General features: G+C 40.4%; 3 annotated features.

The window, feature by feature from the left end:
* Positions 6,083–6,679: an enhancer, noted in NCBI's record as "OCT4-NANOG-H3K27ac hESC enhancer chr9:103501274-103501870 (GRCh37/hg19 assembly coordinates)". NCBI's record gives its function as "activates a minimal SCP1, AML or CMV promoter by ChIP-STARR-seq in naive H9 embryonic stem cells {active_cell/tissue: H9 hESC(naive)}" and the evidence as "EXISTENCE:reporter gene assay evidence [ECO:0000049][PMID:30033119]".
* Positions 6,083–7,485: a biological region, named in NCBI's record as "MED14-independent group 3 enhancer GRCh37_chr9:103501477-103502676".
* Positions 6,286–7,485: an enhancer, noted in NCBI's record as "MED14-independent group 3 enhancer chr9:103501477-103502676 (GRCh37/hg19 assembly coordinates)". NCBI's record gives its function as "activates an origin of replication core promoter dependent on BRD2, BRD4, P300/CBP and CDK7 cofactors, and independent of MED14, by STARR-seq in HCT116 cells {active_cell/tissue: HCT116}" and the evidence as "EXISTENCE:reporter gene assay evidence [ECO:0000049][PMID:35650434]".

A 24,676-nucleotide genomic window follows, 5' to 3' on the forward strand; every position in this document is an offset into this window, starting at 1 on the left:
GCCTGGCTAATTATTATTATTATTATTATTATTATTATTATTATTATTTGTATTTTTAGTAGAGACAGTGTTTCACCATGTTAGCCAGGATGGTCTCAATCTCCTGACCTCGTGATCCGCCCGCCTTGGCCTCCTGAAGTGCTGGGATTATAAGTGTAAGCCACTGCGCCCAGCCTAGCACAATTTTTTAAATCTTTGCCTTAACACTTTTAAAATTTTGTTTTATTTTAAATGATCAGCCTTCATGGCTCCCCCTTTTTTGGCCCCCAACTTGAGATATATGAAAGCTTTTGGTGTCCCTGGGAGTGGGCGGAGGGCAGCCAGGGGCTTACCTGTACACTGACTTGAGACCAGTTGAAAAAAAGTGCACACCTTAAAAAAATCATATATTTCTTTGGGTTAATGTCTTAATCATTTACTATTTTTTATGAGTTGCAGTGAAAATGAGATGAAAATCATTTTGCAATTTAGTCCTATGTATCATTAACTATACATTAAACTCCAGAGATCTGAAACAGTTAACAACTAACAACTATGTAGTAATTAAAAGTTTACAGAACACATCAACCATAACCAGAACCCACCTCTGCAACAACCCTGTAAGATAGATTTGTTATCTTATTTTACTGTTGAGAATACTGAGGTTTTGGAGAACATAATAACTGGAAATTTGTTTCTGATCAGTGTAATAGAAAACATCATTTTCTATATGTAGCTGGAAATAAGGATGAATCTGAAGACCTAATATGCATGGGGTATTTGGCCACAACAGAACCAGTATGTTTCTAGGAAGATGTGCTCCAGGACTGATGCATGATTTTTAAAATATTTTTAATTTTTTGTGAGTACAGAGTAGGTATGTATATTTATGGAGTACATGAAATTTTTAAAAATTTTTTATTTTTCCATAAGTTTTTGGGGTACAGGTGGTATTTGGTTACATGAGTAAGTTACTTAGTGGTGATTTGTGAGATTTTGGCGCACCCATCACCCAAGCAGTATACACTGCACCATATTTGTAGTCTTTCATCCCTTGCCCTCCTCCCACTCTTCCCCACAAGTCCCCAAAGTACATTGTATCATTCATGCCTTTGTGTCCTCACAGCTTAGCTCCCACGTATCAGTGAGAACATATAATGTTTCATTTTCCATTCCTGAGTTACTTCTCTTAGAACAACAGTCTCCAATCTCATCCAGGTCACTGCAAATGCTGTTAATTCATCCCTTTTTATGGCTGCATAGTATTCCATTTTATATATACACACCACAGTTTCCTTTTTTTTTTTTTTTTTTGAGACGGAGTCTCACTCTGTTGCCCAGGCTGGAGTGCAGTGGTGTGATCTAGGCTCACTGCAAGCTCCGCCTTCCAGGTTCACACCATTCTCCTGCCTCAGCCTCCCGAGTAGCTGGGACTACAGGCATCCACCACCATGCCTGGCTAATTTTTTGTATTTTTAGTAGAGATGGGGTTTCACTATGTTAGCCAGGATGGTCTAGATCTCCTGACCTTGTGATCTGCCTGCCTTGGCCTCCCGAAGTGCTGGGATTATAGGCGTGAGCCACCGTGCTCATAGATTGATGGGCATTTGGGTTGGTTCCGTGATTTTGCAATTGTGAATTGTGCTGCTATAAACATGCATGTGCAAGTATTCTTTTCAAATATGGCTTCTTTTCCTCTGGGTAGATACCCAGTAGTAGGATTCCTGGATCAAATGGTAGTTTTATTTTTAGTTCTTTAAGGAATCTCTATACTGTTTTCCATAGTGGCTGTACTAGTTTACATTCCCATCAGCAGTGTAGAAGTGTTCCCTGTTCACTGCATCCACGCCCATATCTACTGTTTTTTTATTTTTTTTGATTATGGCAATTCTTGCAGGAGTAAGGTGTTATCACATTGTGGTTTTGATTTGCATTTCCCTGATCATTAGTGATATTGAGCATTTTTTCATATGTTTGTTGGCCATTTATATATCTGCTTTTGAGAATTGTCTGTTCCTGTCCTTAGCCCACTTTTTGATGGGATTGTTTGTTTTTTTCTTACTGATTTGTTTGAGTTCTTTGTAGATTGTGGATATTAGTCCTTTGTCAGATGTATAGATTATGAAGATTTTCTCCCACTCTGTGGGTTGTCTGTTTACTCTGCTGACTCTTCCTTTTGCTGTGCAAAAGCTCTTTAGTTTAATTAGGTCCCAGCTATTTATCTTTGTTTTTATTGCATCTGCTTTTGGGTTCTTGGTCATGAAATCCTTGCCTATGCCAATGTCTAGAAGGGTTTTTCCAATGTTATCTTCTAGAATTTTTATAGTTTCAGGTCTTAGGTTTAAGTCCTTAATCCCTCTTGAGTTGATTTTTGTATAAGCTGGGAGATGAGGATTCAGTTTCATTGTCCTACATGTGGCTAGCCAATTATCCCAGCACCATTTGTTGAAAAGGGTATCCTTTCCCCACTTTATGTTCTTGTTTTCTTTGTCAAAGATCAGTTGGCTATAAGTATTTGAGCTTATTTTTGGGTTCTCTATTCTGTTCCATTGGTCTTATGTGTCTATTTTTATACCACCACCACCACCACACTGTTTTGGTGACTATGACCTTATAGTATAGTTTGAAATCAGGTAGTGTGATGCCTCCAGATTTGTTCATTTTGCTTAGTCTTGTTTTGGCTATGCAGGTTCTTTTTTGTTCCATATGAATTTTAGAATTGTTTTTTGTAATTCTGTGAAGAATGATGGTGGTACTTTGATGGGGATTGCATTAAATTTGTAGATTGCTTTTGGCAATACGGTCATTTTCACAATATTGATTCTACCCATCCATGAGCATGGGATGTGTTTCCATTTGTTTGTGTCATCTATGATTTCTTTAGAGGACTTTCAACTCCTTGGTTAAGTCAGTTCCTAAGTATTTTATTTTTTTTTGCAGCTATTGTAAAAGGGGTTGAGTTCTTGATTTGATTCTCTGCTTGGTTGCTGTTGGTGTATAAAAGAGCTACTGATTTGTGTATGTTAATCTTGTATCTGAAAACTTTGTTGAATTCTTGTATAAGTTCTAGGAGGCTTCTGGAGGAGTCCTTAGGGTTTTCAAGGTCAACAATCATATCATCAGCAAACAGTGACATTTTGACTTCCCTTTACTGATTTGGATGCCTTTTTATTTCTTTCTCTTGTCTGGTTGCCTTGGCTAGGACTTCCAGTACTATGTTGAAGAGGAGTGGCAAGAGTGGGCATCCTTGTTTTGTTCCAGTTCTCAGAGGGAATGTTTCCAACTTTTCCCCATTCAGTATTATGTTGGCTGTGGGTTTGTCATAGATGACTTTTATTACATTAAGGTAAGTCCCTTGTATGATGATTTTGCTGAGAGTTTTAATCATAAAGCAATGCTGGATTTTGTCGAATGCTTTTTCTGCATCTATTGAGATGATCATGTGATTTTTGTTTTTAATTGTGTTTATGTGGTATATCACATTTACTGACTTGTGTATGTTAAACCATCCCTGCATCCCTGGTATGAAACCCACTTGATCATGGTGGATTATATTTTTGATACATTGTTGGATTTGGTTAGCTAGTATTTTGATAAGGATTTTAGCATCTATGTTCATCAAGGATATTGGTCTGTAGTTTTCTTTTTTGGTTATGTCCTTTACTGGTTTTGGTATTAGGGTGATGCCGGCTTCATAGAATGAATTAGGGAGGGTTCCTTCTGTCTCTGTCTTGTGGAATAGTGTCAAAAAGATTGGTACCAAGTCTTCTTTGAATGTCTGGTAGAATTCTGCCATGAATCTATCTGGTCCTGGACTTTTTTCGTTGGTAATTTTTAAATTACCATTTTAATCTCACTGCTTGTTATTGGTCTGTTCAGGGTAGCTAATTCTTCCTGATTTAAGCTAGGAGGGTTTATTTTTCCGGGAATGTATCCATCTCTTCTAGGTTTTCTAGTTTATGTGAGTAACGTTGTTCATAGTAGCCTTGAATGATCTTTTGTATTTCAGTGGTGTCAGTTGTGATATCCCCTATTTTGTTTCTTAGCGAGGTTATTTGGATTTTCTCTCTCTTCTTGGTTAATCTTGCTTTTGGTCTATTAATTTTATTTATCTTTTCAAAGAACTAGCTTTTTGTTTCATTTATCTTTTGTGGGTTTTTTTTTGTTCTAATTTCATTTAATTCTGCTCTGATCTTGGTTATTTCCTTTCTTCTGCTAGGTTTGGATTTGGCTTGTTCTTGTTTCTCTAGTTCCTTGAGGTGTGACCTTAGAATGTCAGTTTGTGCTCTTTCAGTATTTTTCATGTAGGTGTTTAGGGCTATAAACTTTCCTCTTAGCACCGCCTTTGCTGTATCCCAGAGGGTTTGATAGGTGGTGGCATTATTGTCATTCAGCTCAAAGAATTTTTAAATTTCCTTCTTGATTTCATTTTTGACCCAATGCTCATTCAGGAGCAGGTTATTTAATTTCCACGTATTTGCATGATTTTAAAGGTTCCTTTTGGAGTTGATTTCCAGTTTTATTCCACTGTGTTCTAAGAGAGCACTTGATGTCATTTCAATTTTCTTGAATTTATTCATGCTCATTTTATGGCCTATCATATGGTCTATCTTGGAGAAAGTTCCATGCACTGTTGAACAGAATGTATATTCTTGGTTGTTGGATGAAATGTTCTGTATATATCTGTTAAGTCAATTTGTTCCAACATACAGTTCAAATCCATTGTTTCTTTGTTGACTTTTTGTCTTGATGACCTGTCTAGTGCTGTCAGTGGAGTATTGAAGTCCCCCACTATTATTGTGTTGCTGTCTGATTTCTTAGGTCTATTAGTGATGGTTTTATAAATTTGGGAACTCCAGTGTTAGGTGTATATATGTTTAGGATTGTGATATTTTCCTATTGGACAAGGACTTTTAGCATTATATAATGTCCCTCTTTGTCTCTTAACTGCTGTTGCTTTGGTTTGTTTTGTCTGATATAAGAATAGCTACCTCTGTTCGCTTTTGGTGTCCATTTGCATGAGATGCCTTTTTCTACCCCTTTAAGTTTATGTGAGTCTTTATGTGTTTGGTGAGTCTCCTGAAGGCAGCAGATAGTTGGTTTGTGATTTCTTATCCATTCTGCAGTTCTGTATCTTTTAAGTGGAGCATTTAGGCCATTTACATTCAATGTTAGTATTGGAATGTGAGATACTGTTGCATTCATCGTGCTCTTGTTGCCTGTGTACTTTTTTTTGCTTTTTAACTTGTATTTTTGTTTTATAGGTCCCATGTGATTTACGCTTTAAAGAGATTCTGTTTTGATGTGTTTCCAGGATTTGTTTCAAGATTTAGAGCTCCTTTTAGCAATTCTTGTAGTGGTAGTTTGGTAATGGCGAATTCTCTCAGCATTTGTCTGTCTGAAAATGACTGTATCTTTACTTCATATATAATGCTTAGTTTTGCTGGATACAAAATTCTTGGCTGATAAATTTTGTTTGAGGAGGCTGAAGATAGGGCCCCAATCCCTTCTAGCTTGTAGGTTTTCTGCTGAGAAATCTGCTGTTAATCTGATAGGTTTTCCTTTATAGGCTACCTGGTGCTTCTGTCTCACAGCTCTTAAGCTTCTTTCCTTCATCTTAACTTTGGATAACCTGATGACAGTGTGCCTGGGAGAAGATCTTTTTCTGATGAATTTCCCAGGTGTTCTTTGTGCTTCTTGTATTTGCAAGTCTAGGTCTCTAGCAAGGCCAGGAAAGCATTCCTTGATTATTCCCCCAAATATGTTTTCCAAGCTTTTAGAATTCTCTTCTTCCTCAGGAACACTGATTATTCTTTGGTTTGGTCATTTAACATAATCCCAGACTTCTTGGAGACTTTGTTTATATTTTCTTATTCTTTTTTCTTTGTCTTTGTTGGATTGAGTTAATTTGAAGACCTTGTCTTTGAGCTCTGAATTTCTTTCTTCTACTTGTTGAATTCTGTTGCTGAGACTTTCCAGAGTAGTTTGCATTTCTAAAAGTGTGTCCAAAGTTTCCTGAATATTTGATTGTTTTTTTTCTTAAAGCTATCTGTTTCCTTGAATATTTCTCCCTTCACTTCTTGTATCATTTTTTGGATTTCCTTGCCTTGGGCTTTGCCTTTCTCTGATACCTCCCTGATTAGCTTAATAACTAATCTCCTGAATTCTTTTTTAGGTAAATCAGAGATTTCTTCTTGGTTTGGGTCCATTGCTGGTGAACTAGAGCGATTTTTTGGGTATGTCAAAGAGCCTTGTTTTGTCATATTACCATGGTTGGTTTTCTGGTTCCTTCTCATTTGGGTAGGCTCTGTCAGAGAGAAGGTCTAGGGCTGACAGCTGTTGTTCAGATTCTTTTGTCCCACGGGGTATTCCTTTGATGTAGTACTCTCCCCCTTTTCTTATGGATGTGGCTTCCTGTGAGCCAAACTGCTGTGATTGTTGTCTCTCTTCTGGGTCTAGCCACCCAGTGAGTGTACCTGGCTCTGGGCTGGTACTGGGGTTGTTTGCACAGAGTCCTGTGATGTGAGTCATTTATGGGTCTCTTAGCTGTGGATACCAGCTCCTGTCCAGTGGAGGTGGCAGCACAGGGGCGGTGCAATGGGCTCCATGAGGGTCCTTAATTTTGGTGGTTTAATGCTCTGTTTCATGCTGGTTGGCCTCCTGCCAGGCAGTGGCACTTTCCAGAAAGCATCAGCTGTGGTAGTGTGGAGAGGGACTGATGGTGAGCGGGGACCTAGAACTCCAAAGATTAAATGCCCCTTGTCTTCCATTACCAGGGTGTATAGGGAAAGACCATCAGGTGGGGGCAGGGCTAGGCATGTCTGAACTCAGACCCTCCTTGGGTGGGTCTTGCTGCGGTTGCTGTGGAGGATAGGGGTGAGATTCCTAAGTCACTGGAGTTGTGTACCTATAAGGATTAAGGCTACCTCTGCTGAGTCATGCAGGTTGTTAGGGAAGTAGGGGAAAGCCAGTAGTCACAGGGCTCACCCAGCTCCCATGCAAACTGAAGGGCTGGTCTCACTCCCATCATGCCCCGCCCCTCAAACCGCCCGGAGTCTGTTTCCAGGTGGAGGGTGAGACAGACTTGAAAACTTGCCCCGGGCTTCCTGCCTCCCAGCTGTGAAAGAAAAGGGCTTGGTTCTTACCCCACCTGTGGAGTCTGCACACTAGATTCTTTCCACTCCTGCCCAGTTCTGGCCAGGAGGTTCTCGCCCCATTCAAATTGTTACAAAGTTCAAAGATTTCCTTCTCGTCGTGGAGTTTTACCCCCTGCTCCTCTAGCCACCCTCCTGATGGATCCCTGTGGTGCCAGGCAGGAATGGGCTGCTTGGGGACCCAGTGAGCACCCAGGGCCTTTCTGCTGCTTTCTCTACCTCTGTATTTCCCTTGGCTCTCTAAATTGACTCAGCTCCAGGTAAAGTCAGAAACTTCTCCCACAAACAGACCTTCAGCTTCTCCAGCGGGGGTGTGTGTTTGGGGGAAGAGGGTCTTCTTTTCGCACTTCCGCAGTTGAGGCACTCACAATATTTGAAGTGTCTCCCAGGTCCTGCAGGAGCAGTCCACTTCCTTCAGAGGGCCTGTGGGTCTTCTCAGAATTGCTGTTTTGTTCTTGCAGTCGATCTGGAGCTACAGTTCACAATGCGAGCCTCCACACGCTGCTCTGTCTGGAGCTGCAATCTAGTCCTGCCTCCCATCCACCATGGTAATCTCTCATGAGATGTTTTGATACAGGCATGCAATGTGTCATAATCACATCATGGAGAATGGGTTGTCCATCCTCTCAAGTATTTATCCTCTGTATCACAAACAATCCAATTATACTCTTTTAGTTACTTTCAGTTGTACAATTAAATTATTATTGACTATAATAAAATAATTATTAAATTATTATTAACTATAATCACCCTGTCTTATGGTTTGAATCTGTGTCCCTGGCCAAATCTCATGCAGAACTATAATCCCCAGTATTGGTGGTGGGGCCTAATGGGAGGTGACTGGATCATGGGGGTGGATCCTTCATGAATGGGTTAGCACCATCCCACCTTGGTACTGTATACTGAGTGAGTTCTCACGAGATCTGGTAGTTTAAAAGTGTAGCCCCTCTCTCCTCTCTCCTGTTCATGACATGTAAGATGCTTGCTCTAGCTGTACCTTCTGCTGTAAGTGAAACCTTGCTGAAGCCTCCCCAGAAGCAGATACCACCATGCTTCCTATACAGCCTGTGAAACTGTGAGCCTGTTAAACCTGTTTTCTTATAAATTACTCAGTCTCAGATATTTATTTATAGCAATGCAATAATAGCCTAATATACTCTGTTGTGCTATCAAATACTAGGTCTTATTCATTCTTTCTATTTTTCTGTACCCATTAACCATCCCCACCTTCCCCATACCCCAACTTTCCTTCCCAGCCTCTAATAACCATCCTTCTACTCTCTGCCTTCATGAGTTCAATTGTTTTGATTTTTAGATCCCCAAAATAAGTGAGAACATATGGTTTGTCTTTATTTCACTTAACATGATGACCTCGTTTCATCCATCTTGTTGCAAATGACAGGATCTTATTATTTTTTGTGGCTGAATAGTACTCCATTGTATGTACCATGTATGTATCCATTCATCTGTTAATGGACACTTAACTTTCAGATGTTGCCTGCTGTGAACAGTGCTGCAACAAACATGGGAACTGATGCATGATTTTCGTGGTAGACTTCGTTGCCATGTATTCAAATGCATTTTAGATGATAATTGGGACATTGCCAGCCATGGCAGGCCATGGAAAGGCTAGGGTTCTATAGAGAAGATGTAAATAACAAGTCAAGCAAGTGCTGCTAGGAAGAGAGCATTACAGGACTACAAATTCAAAGACTGGAAAAGACCCTGTGGACCATTACTGCTTTCTTGATCTTTCAAGAAGGCTTGAATAGAGAGAGTAGCTCTCTGTCAATGTGGCTGGACTTAGATATGTAAACATTTTTCTACTTTTAAATACATTCTTTTAAGTATGAGTGGCCCTTCTCTCCTGAATCTATTCCTTAAAATTTAAACAAAATTTATGGGTACATAGTAGGTATATATATTTATGGAGTACCATCACTGTACTCTCTATCTCCCTGAGTTCAGTTGTTTTAATTTTAGTTCCCACAAATGAGTGAGAATACGTGAAGTTTGTCTTTCTGCGCCTGGCTTATTCCACTTAATGTCCTCCAGTTTCATGCATGTTGTTGCGAAGTACAGTATCTCATTGTTTTTTATGGCTGAAAAGTATTCCATTGTGTATATGCACCACATTTTCTTTGTCCATTCATCTGCTGATGGACCCTTAGGTTGCTTCCAAATCTTGGCTATTGTGAACAGTACTGTAATTAACATGGAAGTGCAGCTATATCTTTGATATACTGATTTCCTCTTTTGGAGTATATACCTAACAGTGCGATTGCTGGATAATATGGTAGCTCTACTTTAGTATTTTGAGGAACTTCCAAACTGTTCTCTCTAGTGGGTGTGCTAATTTACATTCCCACCAAAACTGTAGGTTTCTCTTTTCTCCACATCCTCACCAGCATTTGTTATTTATTTATTTATTTTTTAAGGTTTTTTTTTTTTTATACTTTAAGTTCTAGGGTACATGTGCACAATGTGCAGGTTTGTTACATAGGTATACATATGCCATGTTGGTCTGCTGCACCCATTAACTCATCATTTACATTAGATATTTCTCCTAATGCTATCCCTCCCCCAGCCCCCTCACCCCACGACAGGCCACAGTGGGTGATGTTCCCCGCCCTGTGTCCAAGTGTTCTCATTGTTCAGTTCCCACCTATGAGTGAGAACGTGCAGTGTTTGGTTTTCTGTCCTTGTGAGAGTTTGCTGAGAATGATGGTTTCCACCTTCATCCACGTCCCTGCAAAGACATGAACTTACCCTTTTTTATGGCTGCATAGTATTACGTGGTGTATATGTGCCACATTTTCTTAATCCAGTCTATCATTGATGGACATTTAGGTTGGTTCCAAGTCTTTGGTATTGTGAATAGTGCCACAATAAGCATACGTGTGCATGTGTCTTTATAGTAGCATGATTTATAATCCTTTGGGTATATACCCAGTAATGGGACGGCTGGGTCAAATGGTATTTCTAGTTCTAGATCCTTGAGGAATCGCCATACCGTCTTCCACAATGGTTGAACTAATTTACACTCCCACCAACAGTGTAAAAGTGTTCCTATTTCTACACATCCTCTCCAGCATCTGTTGTTTCTGGGCTTTTTAAAAAAAATTATTATACTTTAAGTTCTAGGGTACATGTGCACAATGTGCAGGTTTGTTACATATGTATACACGTGCCATGTTGGCGTGCTGCACCTGTTAACTCATCATTTACATTAGGTATATCTCCTAATGCTATCCCTCCCCGCTCCCTCCACCCCATGACAGGCCCTGGTGTGTGATGTTCCCCACCCTGTGTCCAAGTGTTCTCATTGTTCAATTCCCACCTATGAGTGAGAACATGCAGTGTTTGATTTTCTGTACTTGTGATAGTTTGCTGAGAATGATGGATTCCAGCTTCATCCATGTCCCTACAAAGGACATGAACTCATCCTTTTTTATGGCTGCATAGTATTCTGTGGTGTATATATGCCATGTTTTCTTAATCCAGTCTGTCATTGATGGACATTTGGGTTGGTTCCAAGTCTTTGGTATTATGAATAGTGCCTCAATAAACATACGTGTGCATGTGTCTTTATAGCAGCATGATTTATAATCCTTTGGGTATATACCCAGTAATGAGATGGCTGGGTCAAATGGTATTTCTAGTTCTAGATCCTTGAGGAATCACCACACTGTCTTCCACAATGGTTGAACTAGTTTACAGTCTCACCAACAATGTAAAAGTGTTCCTATTTCTCCACATCCTCTCCAGCACCTGTTGCTTCCTGACTTTTTAATGGTCGCCATTCTAACTAGTGTGAGATGATATCTCATTGTGGTTTTGATTTGCATTTCTCCGATGGCTAGTGATGACGAGCATTTTTTCATGTGTTTTTTGGCTGCATAAATGTCTTCTTTTGAGAAGTGTCTGTTCATATCCTTCACCCACTTTTTGATGGGGTTGTTTGATTTTTTCTTGTAAATTTGTTTAAGTTCTTCGTAGATTCTGGATATTAGCCCTTTGTTAGATGGGTAGATTGCAAAAATTTTCTCCCATTCTGTAGGTTGCCTGTTCATGCTGATGGTAGTTTCTTTTGCTGTGCAGAAGCTCTTTAGTTTAATTAGATCCCATTTGTCAATTTTGGCTTTTGTTGCCATTGCTTTTGGTGTTTTAGTCATGAAGTTCTTGCACATGCCTATGTCCTGAATGGTATTGTCTAGGTTTTCTTCTAGGGTTTTTATGGTTTTAGGTCTAACATGTAAGTCTTTAATCCATCTTGAATTGATTTTTGTATAAGGTGTAAGGAAGGGATCCAGTTTCAGCTTTCTACATAAGGCTAGCCAGTTTTCCCAGCACCATTTGTTAAATAGGGAATCCTTTCCCCATTTCTTGTTTTTGTCAGGTTTATCAAAGATCAGATGGTTGTAGATGTGTGATATTATTTCTGAGGGCTCTATTCTGTTCCATTAGTCTACATCTCTGTTTTGGTACCAGTACCATGCTGTTTTGGTTACAGTAGCCTTGTAGTATAGTTTGAAGTCAGGTAGAGTGATGCCTCCAGCTTTGTTCTTTTGGCTTAGGATTGTCTTGGCAATGCAGGCTCTTTTTTGATTCCATATGAATTTTAATGTAGTTTTTTCCAATTCTGTGAAGAAAGTCATCGGTAGCTTGATGATGATGGCATTGAATCTATAAATTATCCTGGGCAGTATGGCCATTTTCACAATATTGATTCTTCCTATCCATGAGCATGGAATGTTCTTCCATTTGTTTGTATCCTCTTTTATTTCGTTGAGCAGTGGTTTGTAGTTGTCCTTGAAGAGGTCCTTCTTGTCCCTTGTAAGTTGGATTCCTAGGTATTTTATTCTCTTTAAAGCAATTGTGAATGGGAGTTCACTCATGATTTGGCTCTCTGTTTGTCTGTTATTGGTGTATAGGAATGCTTGTGATTTTGTATCCTGAGAATTTGCTGAAGTTGCTTATCAGCTTCAGGAGATTTTGGGCTGAGACGATGGGGTTTTCTAAATATACAATCATGTCATCTGCAAACAGGGACCATTTGACTTCCTCTTTTCCTAATTGAATATCCTTTATTTCTTTCTCTTGGCTGATTGCCCTGGCCAGAACTTCCAACACTATGTTGAATAGGAGTGGTGAGAGAGGGCATCCTTGTCTTGTGCCAGTTTTCATTTTTTTTTTTTTTTTTTTTTTTTTTTTTTGAGACGGAGTCTCGCTCTGTTGCCCAGGCTGGAGTGCAGTGGCGGGATCTCGGCTCACTGCAAGCTCCGCCTCCCGGGTTCACGCCATTCTCCTGCCTCAGCCTCCCAAGTAGCTGGGACTACAGGCACCCGCCACTACGCCCGGCTAATTTTTTGTATTTTTAGTAGAGACGGGGTTTCACCGTTTTAGCCAGGATGGTCTCAATCTCCTGACCTCGTGATCCGCCCGCCTCGGCCTCCCAAAGTGCTGGGACTACAGGCGTGAGCCACCGCGCCCGGCCATTGTGCCAGTTTTCAAAGGGAATGCTTCCAGTTTTTGCCCATTCAGTATGATATTGGCTGTGGGTTTGTCATAAATAGCTCTTATTATTTTGAGACACATCCCGTCAATACCTAGTTTATTGAGAGTTTTTAGCATGAAGCGTTGTTGAATTTTGTCGAAGGCCTTTTCTGCATCTATTGAGATAATCATGTGGTTTTTGTCTTTGGTTCTGTTTATATGATGGATTACGTTTATTTATTTGCATATGTTGAACCAGCCTTGCATCCCAGGGATGAGGCCTACTTGATCGTGGTGGATAAGCTTTTTGATGTGCTGGTGGATTCAGTTTGCCAGTATTTTATTGAGTATTTTTGCATCAATGTTCATCAGGGATATTGATCTAAAATTCTCTTTTTTTGTTATGTCTCTCCCAGGCTTTGGTATCAGGATGATGTTGGCCTCATAAAATGAATTAAGGAGGATTCCCTCTTTTTCTATTGATTGGAATAGTTTCAGAAGGAATGGTACCAGCTCCTCTTTGTACCTCTGGTAGAATTCGGCTGTGAATCCGTCTGGTCTTGGACTTTTTTTGGTTGGTAGGCTATTAGTTATTGCCTCAATTTCAGAACCTGTTATTGGTCTATTCAGGGATTCAACTTCTTCCTGTTTTAGTCTTGGGAGGGTGTGTGTGTCCAGGAATTTATCCCCATCTTCTAGATTTTCTAGTTTATTTGCATAGAGGTGTTTATAGTATTCTCTGATGGTAATTTGTATTTCTGTGGGATCGGTGGTGATATCCCCTTTATCATTTTTTATTGCATCTATTTGATTTTTCTCTTTTCTTCTTTATTAGTCTTGTTATCAATCTATCAATTTTGTTCATCTTTTCAAAAAACTAGCTCCTGGATTCATTGATTTTTTGAAGGGATTTTTATGTCTCTATCTCCTTCAATTCTGCTGTGATCTTAGTTATTTCTTGCCTTCTACTAGCCTTTGAATGTATTTGCTCTTGCTTCTCTAGTTCTTTTAATTGTGATGTTAGGGTGTCAATTTTAGATCTTTCCTGCTTTCTCTTGTGGGCATTTAGTGCTATAAATTTCCCTCTACACAGTGCTTTAAATGTGTCCCAGAGATTCTCGTATGTTGTGCCTTTGTTCTCGTTGGTTTCAAAGAACATCTTTATTTCTGCCTTCATTTCGTTATGTACCCAGTAGTCATTCAGTAGCAGGTTGTTCAGCTTCCATGTAGTTGAGCCGTTTTGAGTGAGTTTCTTAATCCCGAGCTCTAGTTTGATTTTACTGTGGTCTGAGAGACAGTTTGTTATAATTTCTGTTCTTTTACATTTGCTGAGGAGTGCTTTACTTCCAACCATGCGGTCAATTTTGAAATAAGTGTGATGTGGTGCTGAGAAGAATGTATACTCTATTGATTTGGAGTGGAGAGTTCTGTAGATGTCTATTGGGTCTGCTTGGTGCAGAGCTGAGTTCAATTCCTGGATACCCTTGTTAACTTTCTGTCTCATTGATCTGTCTAATGTTGACAGTGGAGTGTTAAAGTCTTCCATTATTATTGTGTGGGAGTCTAAGTCTCTTTGTAGGTCTCTAAGGACTTGCTTTATGAATCTGGATGCTCCTTTATTGGGTGCATATATATTTAGGATAGTTAGCTCTTCTTGTTGAATTGATCCCTTTACCATTTTGTAGTGGCCTTCTTTGTTCCTTTTGATCTTTGTTGGTTTAAAGTCTGTTTTAACAGAGACTAGGATTGCAACCTCTGCTTTTTTTTTTTGTTTTCCATTTGCTTGGTAGATCTTCCTCCATCCCTTTATTTTGAGCCTATGTGTGTCTCTGCATGTGAGATGGGTTTCCTGAATACAGCACACTTGGGTCTTGACTCTTTATCCAATTTGCCAGTTTGTGTCTTTTAATTGGAGCATTTAGCCCATTTACATTTAAGGTTAATACTGTTTTGTGTGAATTTGATCCTGTCATTATGATGTTAGCTGGTTATTTTGCTCGTTAGTTGATAAAGTTTCTTCCTAGAATCGATGGTCTGTACAATTTGACATGTTTTTGCAGTGGCTGGTACTGGTTGTTCCTTTGCATGTTTAGTGCTTCCTTCAGTAGCTCTTGTAAGGCAGGCCTCGTGGTGACAAAATCTCTCAGCATTTGTTTGTCTGTAAAGGATTTTATTTCTCCTTCACTTATGAAGCTTAGTTTGGCTGAATATAAAATTCTGGGTTGAAAATTCTTTAAGAATGTTGAATATTGGCCCCCACTCTCTTCTGGCTTGTAGAGTTTCTGCTGAGAAATCCACTGTTAGTCTGATGGGCTTCCCTTTGTGGGTAACCCAACCTTTCTCTCTGGCTGCCTTTTACATTTTTTCCTTCATTTCAACTTTGGTGAATCTGACAATTTTGTGTCTTAGCGTTGTTCTTCTCAAGGAGTATTTTTGTGGCTTTCTCTGTATTTCCTGAATTTGAATGTTGGCCTGCCTTCCTAGGTTGGAGAAGTTCTCCTGGATAATATCCTGAAGAGTGTTTTCCAACTTGGTTCCATTCTCCCTGTCACTTTCAGGTATACCAATCAGATGTAGATTTGGTCTTTTCACACAGTTCCATACTTCTTGGAGGCTTTGTTTGTTTCTTTTTACTCTTTTTTCTCTAAGCTTCTCTTCTTGCTTCATTTCATTCATTTGCTCTTCAATCACTGATACCCTTTCTTCCACTTGATCAAATCGGCTACTGAAGTTTGTGCTTGCATCACGTAGTTCTCGTGTCATGGTTTTCAGCTCCATCAGGTCATTTAAGGACTTCTCTATGCTGTTTATTCTAGTTAGCCATTCGTGTAATCTTTTTTCAAGGTTTTTAGCTTCTTTGTTATGAGTTCAAACATCCTCCTTTAGCTCAGAGAAGTTTGTTATTACCGATCGTCTGAAGCCTACTTCTCTCAACTTGTCAAGGTCATTCTCCATCCAGCTTTGTTCCGTTACGGGTAAGGAGCTGCATTCCTTTGGAGGAGGAGAGGTGCTCTGATTTTTAGAATTTTCAGCTTTTCTGTTCTGGTTTCTCCCCATCATTGTGGTTTTATCTACCTTTGGTCTTTGATGATGGTGATGTACAGATGGGGTTTTGGTGTGGATATCCTTTCTATTTGTTAGTTTTCCTTCTAACAGTCAGGACCCTCAGCTGCAGATCTGTTGGAGTTTGCTGGAGGTCCACTGTAGACCTGTTTGCCTGGGTATCACCAGCGGAGGCTGCAGAACAGCAAATATTGCAGAATGGCAAATGTTGCTGTCTCATCCTTCCTCTGGAAGCTTCGTGTCAAAAGGGCACCTGGCTGTATGAGGTGTCAGTTGGCCCCTACTGGGAGATGTCTCCCAGTTAGGGGGTCAGGGACCCACTTGAGGAGGCAGTCTGTCCATTATCAGATCTCAAACTCTGTGCTGGGAGAACCACTGCTCTCTTCAAAGCTGTCAGACAGGGACATTTAAGTCTGCAGAAGTTTCTGCTGCCTTTTGTTCAGCTATGCCCTGCCCCTAGAGGTGGAGTCTACAGAGGCAGGCAGACCTCCTTGAGCTGCAGAGGGCTCCACCCAGTTTGAGCTTCCTGGCCGCTTTTTTACCTACTCAAGCCTCAGCAATGGCAGATGCCCCTCCCCTAGCCTCGCTGCTGCCTTGCAGTTCGATCTCAGACTGCTGTGCTAGCAGGGAGCAAGGCTCTGTGGGTGTGGGACCCTTTGAGCCAGGCATGGGATATACTCTCCTGGTGTGCCGTTTGCTAAGGCCATTAGAAAATCACAGTATTAGGGTGGGAGTGTCCTGATTTTCCAGATACCATCTGTCACAGCTTCCCTTTGCTAGGAAAGGGAATTCCCTGACCCCTTGCACTTCCCGGGTGAGGCGATGCCCTGCCTTGCTCCGTGGGCTGCACCCACAGTCTGACAAGCCCCAGTGAGATGAACCCAGTATCTCAGTTGGAAATGCAGAAATCACCCATCTTCTGCGTCACTTATGCTGGGAGCTGCAGATTGGAGCTGTTCCTATTCAGCTATCTTGGAACCTCCTCTCAGCATTTGTTATTACCTGTCTTTTGAATACAAGCCATTTTAGTTGGGGTGAGATAATATCTCATTGGAATTTTGATTTGTATTTCTCTGATTACCAATGATGGTGGGCACTTTTTCATATGCCTGTTTGCCAGTTGTATGTTTTCTTTTGTGAAATGTTTATTCAGATCTTGTGCCCATTTTTTAATTGGATTATTAGATTTTTTCCTATTGAGTTGTTTGAGCTCCTTATATATCCTGGTTGTTAGTCCCTTGTCAGATGGATAGTTTGGAAGTATTTTCTCCCATTCTGTGGGTTGTCTTTTCACTTTTTTGATTATTTTCTTTGCTGTGCAGGAGCTTTTTTTTTTTTTTAAATTATACTTTACGTTTTAGGGTTGTGCAGAAGCTTTTTAACTTCATGTGATCCCATTTGTCTATTTTTGCTTTGATTGCCTGTGCTTTGGAGGTAATACTCAAGAAATTTTTGCCTAGACTAATGTCCTGGAGTGTTTCCCCAAAGTTTCCTTTTATTAGGTTGATAGTTTGAGGTCCTAGATTTAAGTATTTTGATTTGATTTTCGTATATGGCAAGAGATAGGGGTTTAGTTTCAGTCTTTCGCAGTTTTTCCAGCACCATTTGTGGAAGAGACTGTCCTTTCCCTAATGTATGATCTTGGCACCTTTGTAAAAGAGGAGTTCACTGTAGATGTGTGGATTTATTTCTGGGTTATCTATTCTGTTTCATTTGTCTATGTGTCTGTTTCTATGCTGTTATCATGCTGTTTTGGTTATTATAGCTCTGTAGTATAATTTGAAGTCAGGTAGTGTGATTCCTCTAGTTTTGTTATTTTTGCTTGGGATGACTTTGACTATTCTGGGTCTTTTGTGGTTCCATATACATTTTAGCATTATTTTTTCTATTTCTGTGGACAGCATCATTAGTATTTTGATAGGAATTGCATTGAATCTGTAGATTGCTTTGGGTAGTATGGACATTTTAACAATACGGTTGTTCCAATCCATGAACACTTTGGGTTGTTTTCAATTTCTCACATCAATGTTTTAAAGTTTTTATTGTAGACATGTTTCACTTCTTTGGTAAAGTTTATTCCTAGGTATTTCATTTTATGTGTAGCTATTGTATAAGGGAGTACTTTCTTGATTTTTATGTTAGATTGTTCACAGTTGGCATATAGAAATGCTACTGATTTTTGTATGTTGGTTTTGCATCCTGAAACTTTATTGAATTTGCTTATTAGTTCTGATAGTTTCTTGGTGAAGACTTTAGGTTTTTCCTAATATAAGATCATAACATCTACTTCATTGAATTTGTTTATTAGTTCTGACAGTTTCTTGGTGGAGACTTTAGGTTTTTCCTAATACAAGATCATAACATCTACTTCATTGAATTTGTTTATAGTTCTGACAGTTTCTTGGTGGAGACTTTAGGTTTTTCCTAATATAAGATCATGACATCTACAAACAAGGGTAATTTGACTTCTTCATTTCCAGTTTGGATGCCCTTTATTTCTATATCTTGTCTGATTGTTCTAGTTAGGAATTCCAGGACTATGTTGAATAACAGTGGTGAAACTGGGAGTCCTTGTCACATTCTAGATCTTAGAGGAAAGGCTTTCAGTTTTCACCGATTCAGTACAATACTAACTGTGGATTGGTCATATATGGCTTTTATTGTTTTGAGGTGTTTTCCTTCTATAGCAATTTTGTTGAGGGTTTTTTTCATGAAGGGATGTTTAATTTTATCACATGCTTTTTCAGCACTAATTGAAATGATCATATGGGTTTTGTCTTTCATTCTATTGACATGTGTATCACACTGATTGATTTGCATGTTTTGAACCATCTTTGCATCACTGGAATAAATCCCACTTGGTTATTATGAAGGATTTTTTTTTTTTGAGACAGAGTCTCACTCTGTCACTCAGGCTGGAGTGCAGTGGTGTGGTTTTGGCTCACTGCAACCTCTGCCTCCCAGGTTCAAGCGATTCTCCTTCCTCAGCCTCCTGAGTAGCTGGGATTACAAACATCCACCACTATGCCCAGCTAATTTTTGTATTTTTAGTAGAGACGTGGTTTTGCCATGTTGGCCAGACTGGCCTCTAAGTCCTGACCTCAGGTGATCCACCTGCCTCAGCCTCCCAAAGTGCTAGGATTATAGGCATGAGCCACCATGCCTGGCTGATGAGGATCTTTTAAATATGTTGTTGAATTTCATTTGCTAGTATTTTGTTGCAAATTTTTTGGATCAATATTCATCGGAGATATTGGCCTGTAGTTTTCTCTTTTTGCTGTGTCTTTGTTTGGTTTTGGTATCAGGTTCTGACCCCTGGAATGGACAGTTCCCTTCTGGCTATGGCTGGTCTAAATGTTCCCTCCATGGATTCCAGCTGTGTTGCTTTCCACTGTGAGAGGCCAGCATTGAGTTCCAATGCAAAGTCCCACAATCACTGTGCAACCCCTCCTCCAAGTGCACAGATTCTCTCTCTGAGGCCATTGCTGGAGGCTGAGTGAGGAGGTAGTGGAGACACTTCCGGACTGCTTTTTCTACTCTTTTCAGTGCCTCTTTCCTTGATGTGTTAGTCCATTTTCATGCTGCTGATAAAGACATACCCAAGACTGGGTAATTTATAAATAAAAGAAAGTCTAATGGAATCACAGTTCCACATGGCTGGGGAGGCCTCACAATCATGGTGGAAGGTGAAAGGCATGTCTTACATGGCAGCAGGCAAAGGGAATGAATGCTAAGCAAAAGGGGTTTTGCCTTATAAAACCATTAGATCTTGTGAGACTTATTCACTACCATGAGAACAGTATGGGGGAAACCACCCTCATGATTCAATTATCTCCCACTGGGAAACTCCCACTACATGTGGGAATTATGGGAGCTAGAATTCAAGATGGGATTTGGGTGGGGATACAGCCTAACCACGTCATTCTGACCTAGCCCCTCCCAAATCTCATGTCCTCACATTTCAAAACCAATCATGCATTCCCAACAGTACCCCAAAGTCTTAACTCATTTCAGCATTAACACAAAAGTCCACAGTCCAAAGTCTCATCTGAGACAAGGCAAGTCTCTTCTGCCTATGAGCCTGTAAAATGAAAAGCAAGTTAGTTACTTCCTAGATACAATGGGGGTACAGGCATTGGATAAAAACACCCATTTTAAATAGGAGAAATGGGCCAAAACAAAGGGGTTAAATGCCCCATGCAAGTCTGAAATCCAGCAGGGCAGTCAAATCTAAAACTCCAAAATGATCTCCTTTGACTCCATGTCTCACATACAGATCATGCTGATGCAAGAGGTGGGTTCCCATGATCTTGGGAAGCTCTGTCCCTGTAGCTTTGCAGGGTACAGACTCCCTCCCAGCTGCTTTCACAGGCTGGTGTTGAGTGTCTGCAGCTTTTCCAGGGGCACCATGCAAGCTGTTGGTGGATTTATCATTCTGGGGTCTATAGGACAGTGGCCCTCTTCCCACAGCTCCACTAGGCAATGCCCCAGTGAGGATACTGTGTGGGACCTCCAACCTACACTTGCCTTCCCCACTGCCCTAGCAGAGGTTCTCCATGAGAGCCCCACCCCTGCAGCAAACTTCTGCCTGGACATCCAGGCATTTTTTTACATCCTCTTAAATCTAGGTGGAAGTTCCCAAACGTCAATTCTTCTGTGCACCTGCAGGCTCGACACCATGTGGAAGCTGCCAAGGCTTGGGGCTTGCACCCTCTAAAGCAATGGCCCAAGCAGCATCTTGGCCCCTTTTAGCCATGGCTACAGTGGCTGGGATGCAGGGCACCAAGTCCCTAGGCTGTACACAGCGGGGGGGCTCTGGGCCCAGCCCATGAAACTATTTTTTCCTCCTAGGCCTCTGGACCTGTGATGGGAGGGGCTGCTGTGAATGTCTTTGACAAGCCCTAGAGACATTTTCCTCATTGTCTTGGCAATTAACATTTGGCTCCTCATTATTTATGCAAATTTCTGCCACAGGCTGGAATTTCTCCTGAGAAAATGGTTTTTTATTTTTCTATCACATTTTCAGGCTGTAAATTTTCTGGACTTTCATGCTCTGTTTCTTTATTAAAACAATGTTTTTAATAGCACCCAAGTCACCTCTTGAATGCTTTGCTGCATAGAAATTTCTTCTGCCAGGCTGGGTGTGGTGGATCATGCCTATGATCCGAGCACTTTGGGAGGCCAAGGTGGGTGGATCACTTGAGGTCAGGAGTTTGAGACTACTAGTCTAGCCAACATGGTGAAACCCTGTCTATGCTAAAAATACAAAAATTAGCTGGGCATTGTGGCATGTGCCTGTAATTCCAACTACTCAGGAGCCTGAGGCAGGAGAATTGCTTGAACATGGGAGGCAGCAGCTGCAGTGAGCCAAGACTGTGCCACTGCACTCCAGCCTGGGAAACAGAGTGAGACTCTGCGTCCCCCAAAATATTCTCCTGCCTAATACCCTAAATCATCTCTCTCAAGTTCAAAGTTTCACAAATCTCTAGGGCAAGGGCAAAATGCCACCAGTCTGTTTGCTAAAACATAGCAAGGGTCAACTTTACGCCAGTTCTCAACAAGTTCTTCATCTCCATCTGACACCATCTCAGCCTGGATTTCATCGTCTATATCATTATCAGCATTTTGGTCAAAGCCATTCAACAAGTCTCTAGGAAGTTCCAAACTCTCCCACAATTTTGTGTCTTCTTCTGAGCCCTCCAAACTGTTCCAGCCTCTTCCTGTTACCCAGTTCCAAAGTTGTTTCCACATTTTTGGGTATCTTTACAGCAGCGCCCCACTCTACTGGCACCAATTTACTGTATTAGTCTGTTCTCATGCTGCTGATAAAGACATACCTGAGACTTTGTAATTTATAAAGAAAAAGAGCTTTAATGGACTCACAGTTCCATGTAGCTGGGGAGGTCTCACAATCATGGTGGAAGGTAAAAGGCATGTCCTTCATGGTGGCAGGCAAGAGGGAATGAGAGCCAAGCAAAAGGGGTTTCCCCTTATAAAACTAACATATCTTGTGAGACTTATTCACTACCATGAGAACAGTATGGGGGAAAGTGCCTCCATGATTCAATTATCTCCTACTAGGTCTCTCCCACAACACGTGGAAATTATGTGAGATATTCTTCAAGATGAGATTTGGGTGGGGACACAGACAAACAGTATCACTTGATATGATGTTAAAACCAGGTACATGATTGCTCACCTGATTTTTCATTCTTATGAAGTGCTTTCTTGTGTGGATAGTTGTTCAATTTGGTGTTCCTTCCAGGGGGAGCATTCACTAGGGGCTTCTATTTGGCTATCTTGCATTGCCTCCCACCTATTTCTAAAGCAAGAATCTGTTAGGTAACATCCATTTGACTGCAATATCTGTGCAGTTGTTGTAGTCATGACACATCTTATTGTGTACAGCCAAATTTAGTCTTCCCCAGATTCTCTTTCTGTTTCCCTTTTCCTAGAAATTTTCCCTGCGTGATTTCATATATTCCCAAGTCTTGAAATATCACTGATATACTGGAGTGAAGTAGATTAGCACTACTTCACTCTGTTCCAGAGTTTTTCTTTTTCAAATTTAAATTCAATTCATATTATCTTCCAAGTCTTCTCTCTCTGTCTGTCTTAATTCCTGGCACTTCAATCATATCTATCCTAAGTTTCCATAATTTAGAAACCTCAATGTTTCTCTTCCTCTATGTAAAACAGGTCACTAAGTTGAGTTGATTCTACCCCTGAAAGCTCCGGAAGATGCTTTTACCTCTCCAAACCCATTGGCCACTGCTCTACTTAGCCTCTCATCATCTCCTTTATGGGTTGTTGCAACTGACCTCTGATGAGTCTGATCTCTGTGCTGTGGTTCTCCCTTTCTTCCAATCCATTCTTTGCATTTTTAAAAACGATTTTGCAAAACTGATTATGCTCCTCTGCTTGATTAAAATCTGAGTGAATTCCCTTAAGGCCAAATTCCATCCCCTAAGGGTTTTAGTCAAAGACTTTTGCAATCTGATTCCAATGTAACAAATATGTATGTGTGTATACAAATTGGAATCAGATTGTGAAGTTATTTAAATGTACATATGTACCTATGTATATGTGTGTGTGTATAAAATCTAGTTTAAGTTTTTCTTCTTCTTACCACATTATCTATGTGCTAATCGTAGTAGAGAATCCAAAATTCTTTAAGTAAAATGTGTACTTTCAAACCTCCATGCCTTTGCTCTTGCTGTATCCCACTTTAGAAAGTCCTTATTCCCATGACCAATATTCTATTTATGCACTATGATCAAGCTCAAGTATTGTCTTCTTTGTGAAACCTTTCTTGAGCATCCTTCTTAATTCCCTGTCCAACTTTCTGCTCTAACGTGAGATTAATCTCCGTGCTATAGAACGGACTTGAGCATTGCATTTAGAATGGCTTCAGTCATTACATTTCTGCCTATACTAAAAATATGGACTCTCCTGAAGGAAGGTAATAACCAAGGTTTTTTCACAAGGCTTGGTCCATGATCTTACTAACCTAAGTCCATTCGATGCTGTCTGGTGTCTTCTCATTTGAACTTGTTACATCCTATCATTCTCAGAACTCTGGAGGTTAACCACGTCTGGACAAGGCCATTCCAAAGCTGGAGAGGGAAATGTTACAGTAATGCAGCCTCTTTGCATAATCATTCAGTTTCTATTGATTCCTTATTCCTTAGACTTCTATTCTTGATTTTTTGACCCTATGCCTGACCTAACTTCAGGTAGCTGAGCCTGTGCTGTTAGCCACCTGCCTGGTTATTTTCTCCTGTCAATTAGCTGCCAGCTGAATCCCTGGGTGCTGGATGCCTGCCATCTGTACCTGTCATCATCTCTGGCCATTTGCCAAGTTCCTCTCCTTCTATGCCTCCATGGTCGCCTGAAATCCGTTACCTTGACTCTCTTTGTTCTGACCAGAGACCTCTATTCCAATCTTAGAAGACAAACTGATAATTTGTTACCTTTGAGGAGAGATATAAAGGCACTTATACTGAAAATATTTTATGGATATCTCTTTTTTGGTTCAAAATGCAGAATATGACTGAGAAAACGACTCTGAACAGATAATTATGACAGGGACAAAAATGGGGAATGAGAAAATTCTGGAGTGTAGGGGTGATATGGTTTGGCTGTGTCCCCATCCAAATCTCAATTCGAATTGTATCTCCCAGAATTCGCACATGTTGTGGGAGGGACCCAGGGGGAAGTAATTGAATCATGGGAGCTGGTCTTTCCCATGCTATTCTCATGGTTGTTGTTAAGTCTCATGAGATCTGATGGTTTTATCAGGGGTTTCTGCTTTTGCTTCTTCCTCATTTTCTCTTGCTGCTGCTATGTAAGAAGTGCCTTTTGCCTCCTACCATGATTCTGAGGCCTCCCCAGCCATGTGGAACTGTAAGTCCAATTAAATCTCTTTTTCTTCCCAGTCTCAGATATGTCTGTGTCAGCAGCATGAAAATGGACTAATACAAGGGGGATCCCCATAGGAAGGTCTGCATGATACATGACAGTCATAGGATGTCTAGGGATGAGGCACCATTGATGGTGAAGAGACTTCAGGCCTGTACTGATTGCTATGCTGTAATTGTGCAGCATAAACTAAGGCTCTCTTACAGTTGAGGCAGATACACAATATACTAGTAGCAGATATATTCAAACTTTGGATTTGGGTGCATTAGATTTGGGAGTAGGTCTGATAATTTAAATACATAGGGAAAGCTCCATGTGTCTCTTTGTGTACATGATACATTCCAGGACCTGGCATTCAAGATGTATTATTGAAAAAAATCATAAAAGTTCCTTGGAATGTTCTGTTTTGTAGAAAACCTCACATTTAATTATATCAAATCATACCATATAATTTACTTTTTATTGTTGTTTAAGGTGGGACAAATGCTCTTCTTTCTCACTGGTAGAACTATGCATTCAGAGATTTACAATGCAATAATGTGGCTTAAGTAGACATGGTTTGG

This window comes from Homo sapiens, chromosome 9 (assembly GCF_000001405.40).
Source record: "Homo sapiens chromosome 9, GRCh38.p14 Primary Assembly".
Lineage (NCBI taxonomy): Eukaryota > Metazoa > Chordata > Mammalia > Primates > Hominidae > Homo > Homo sapiens.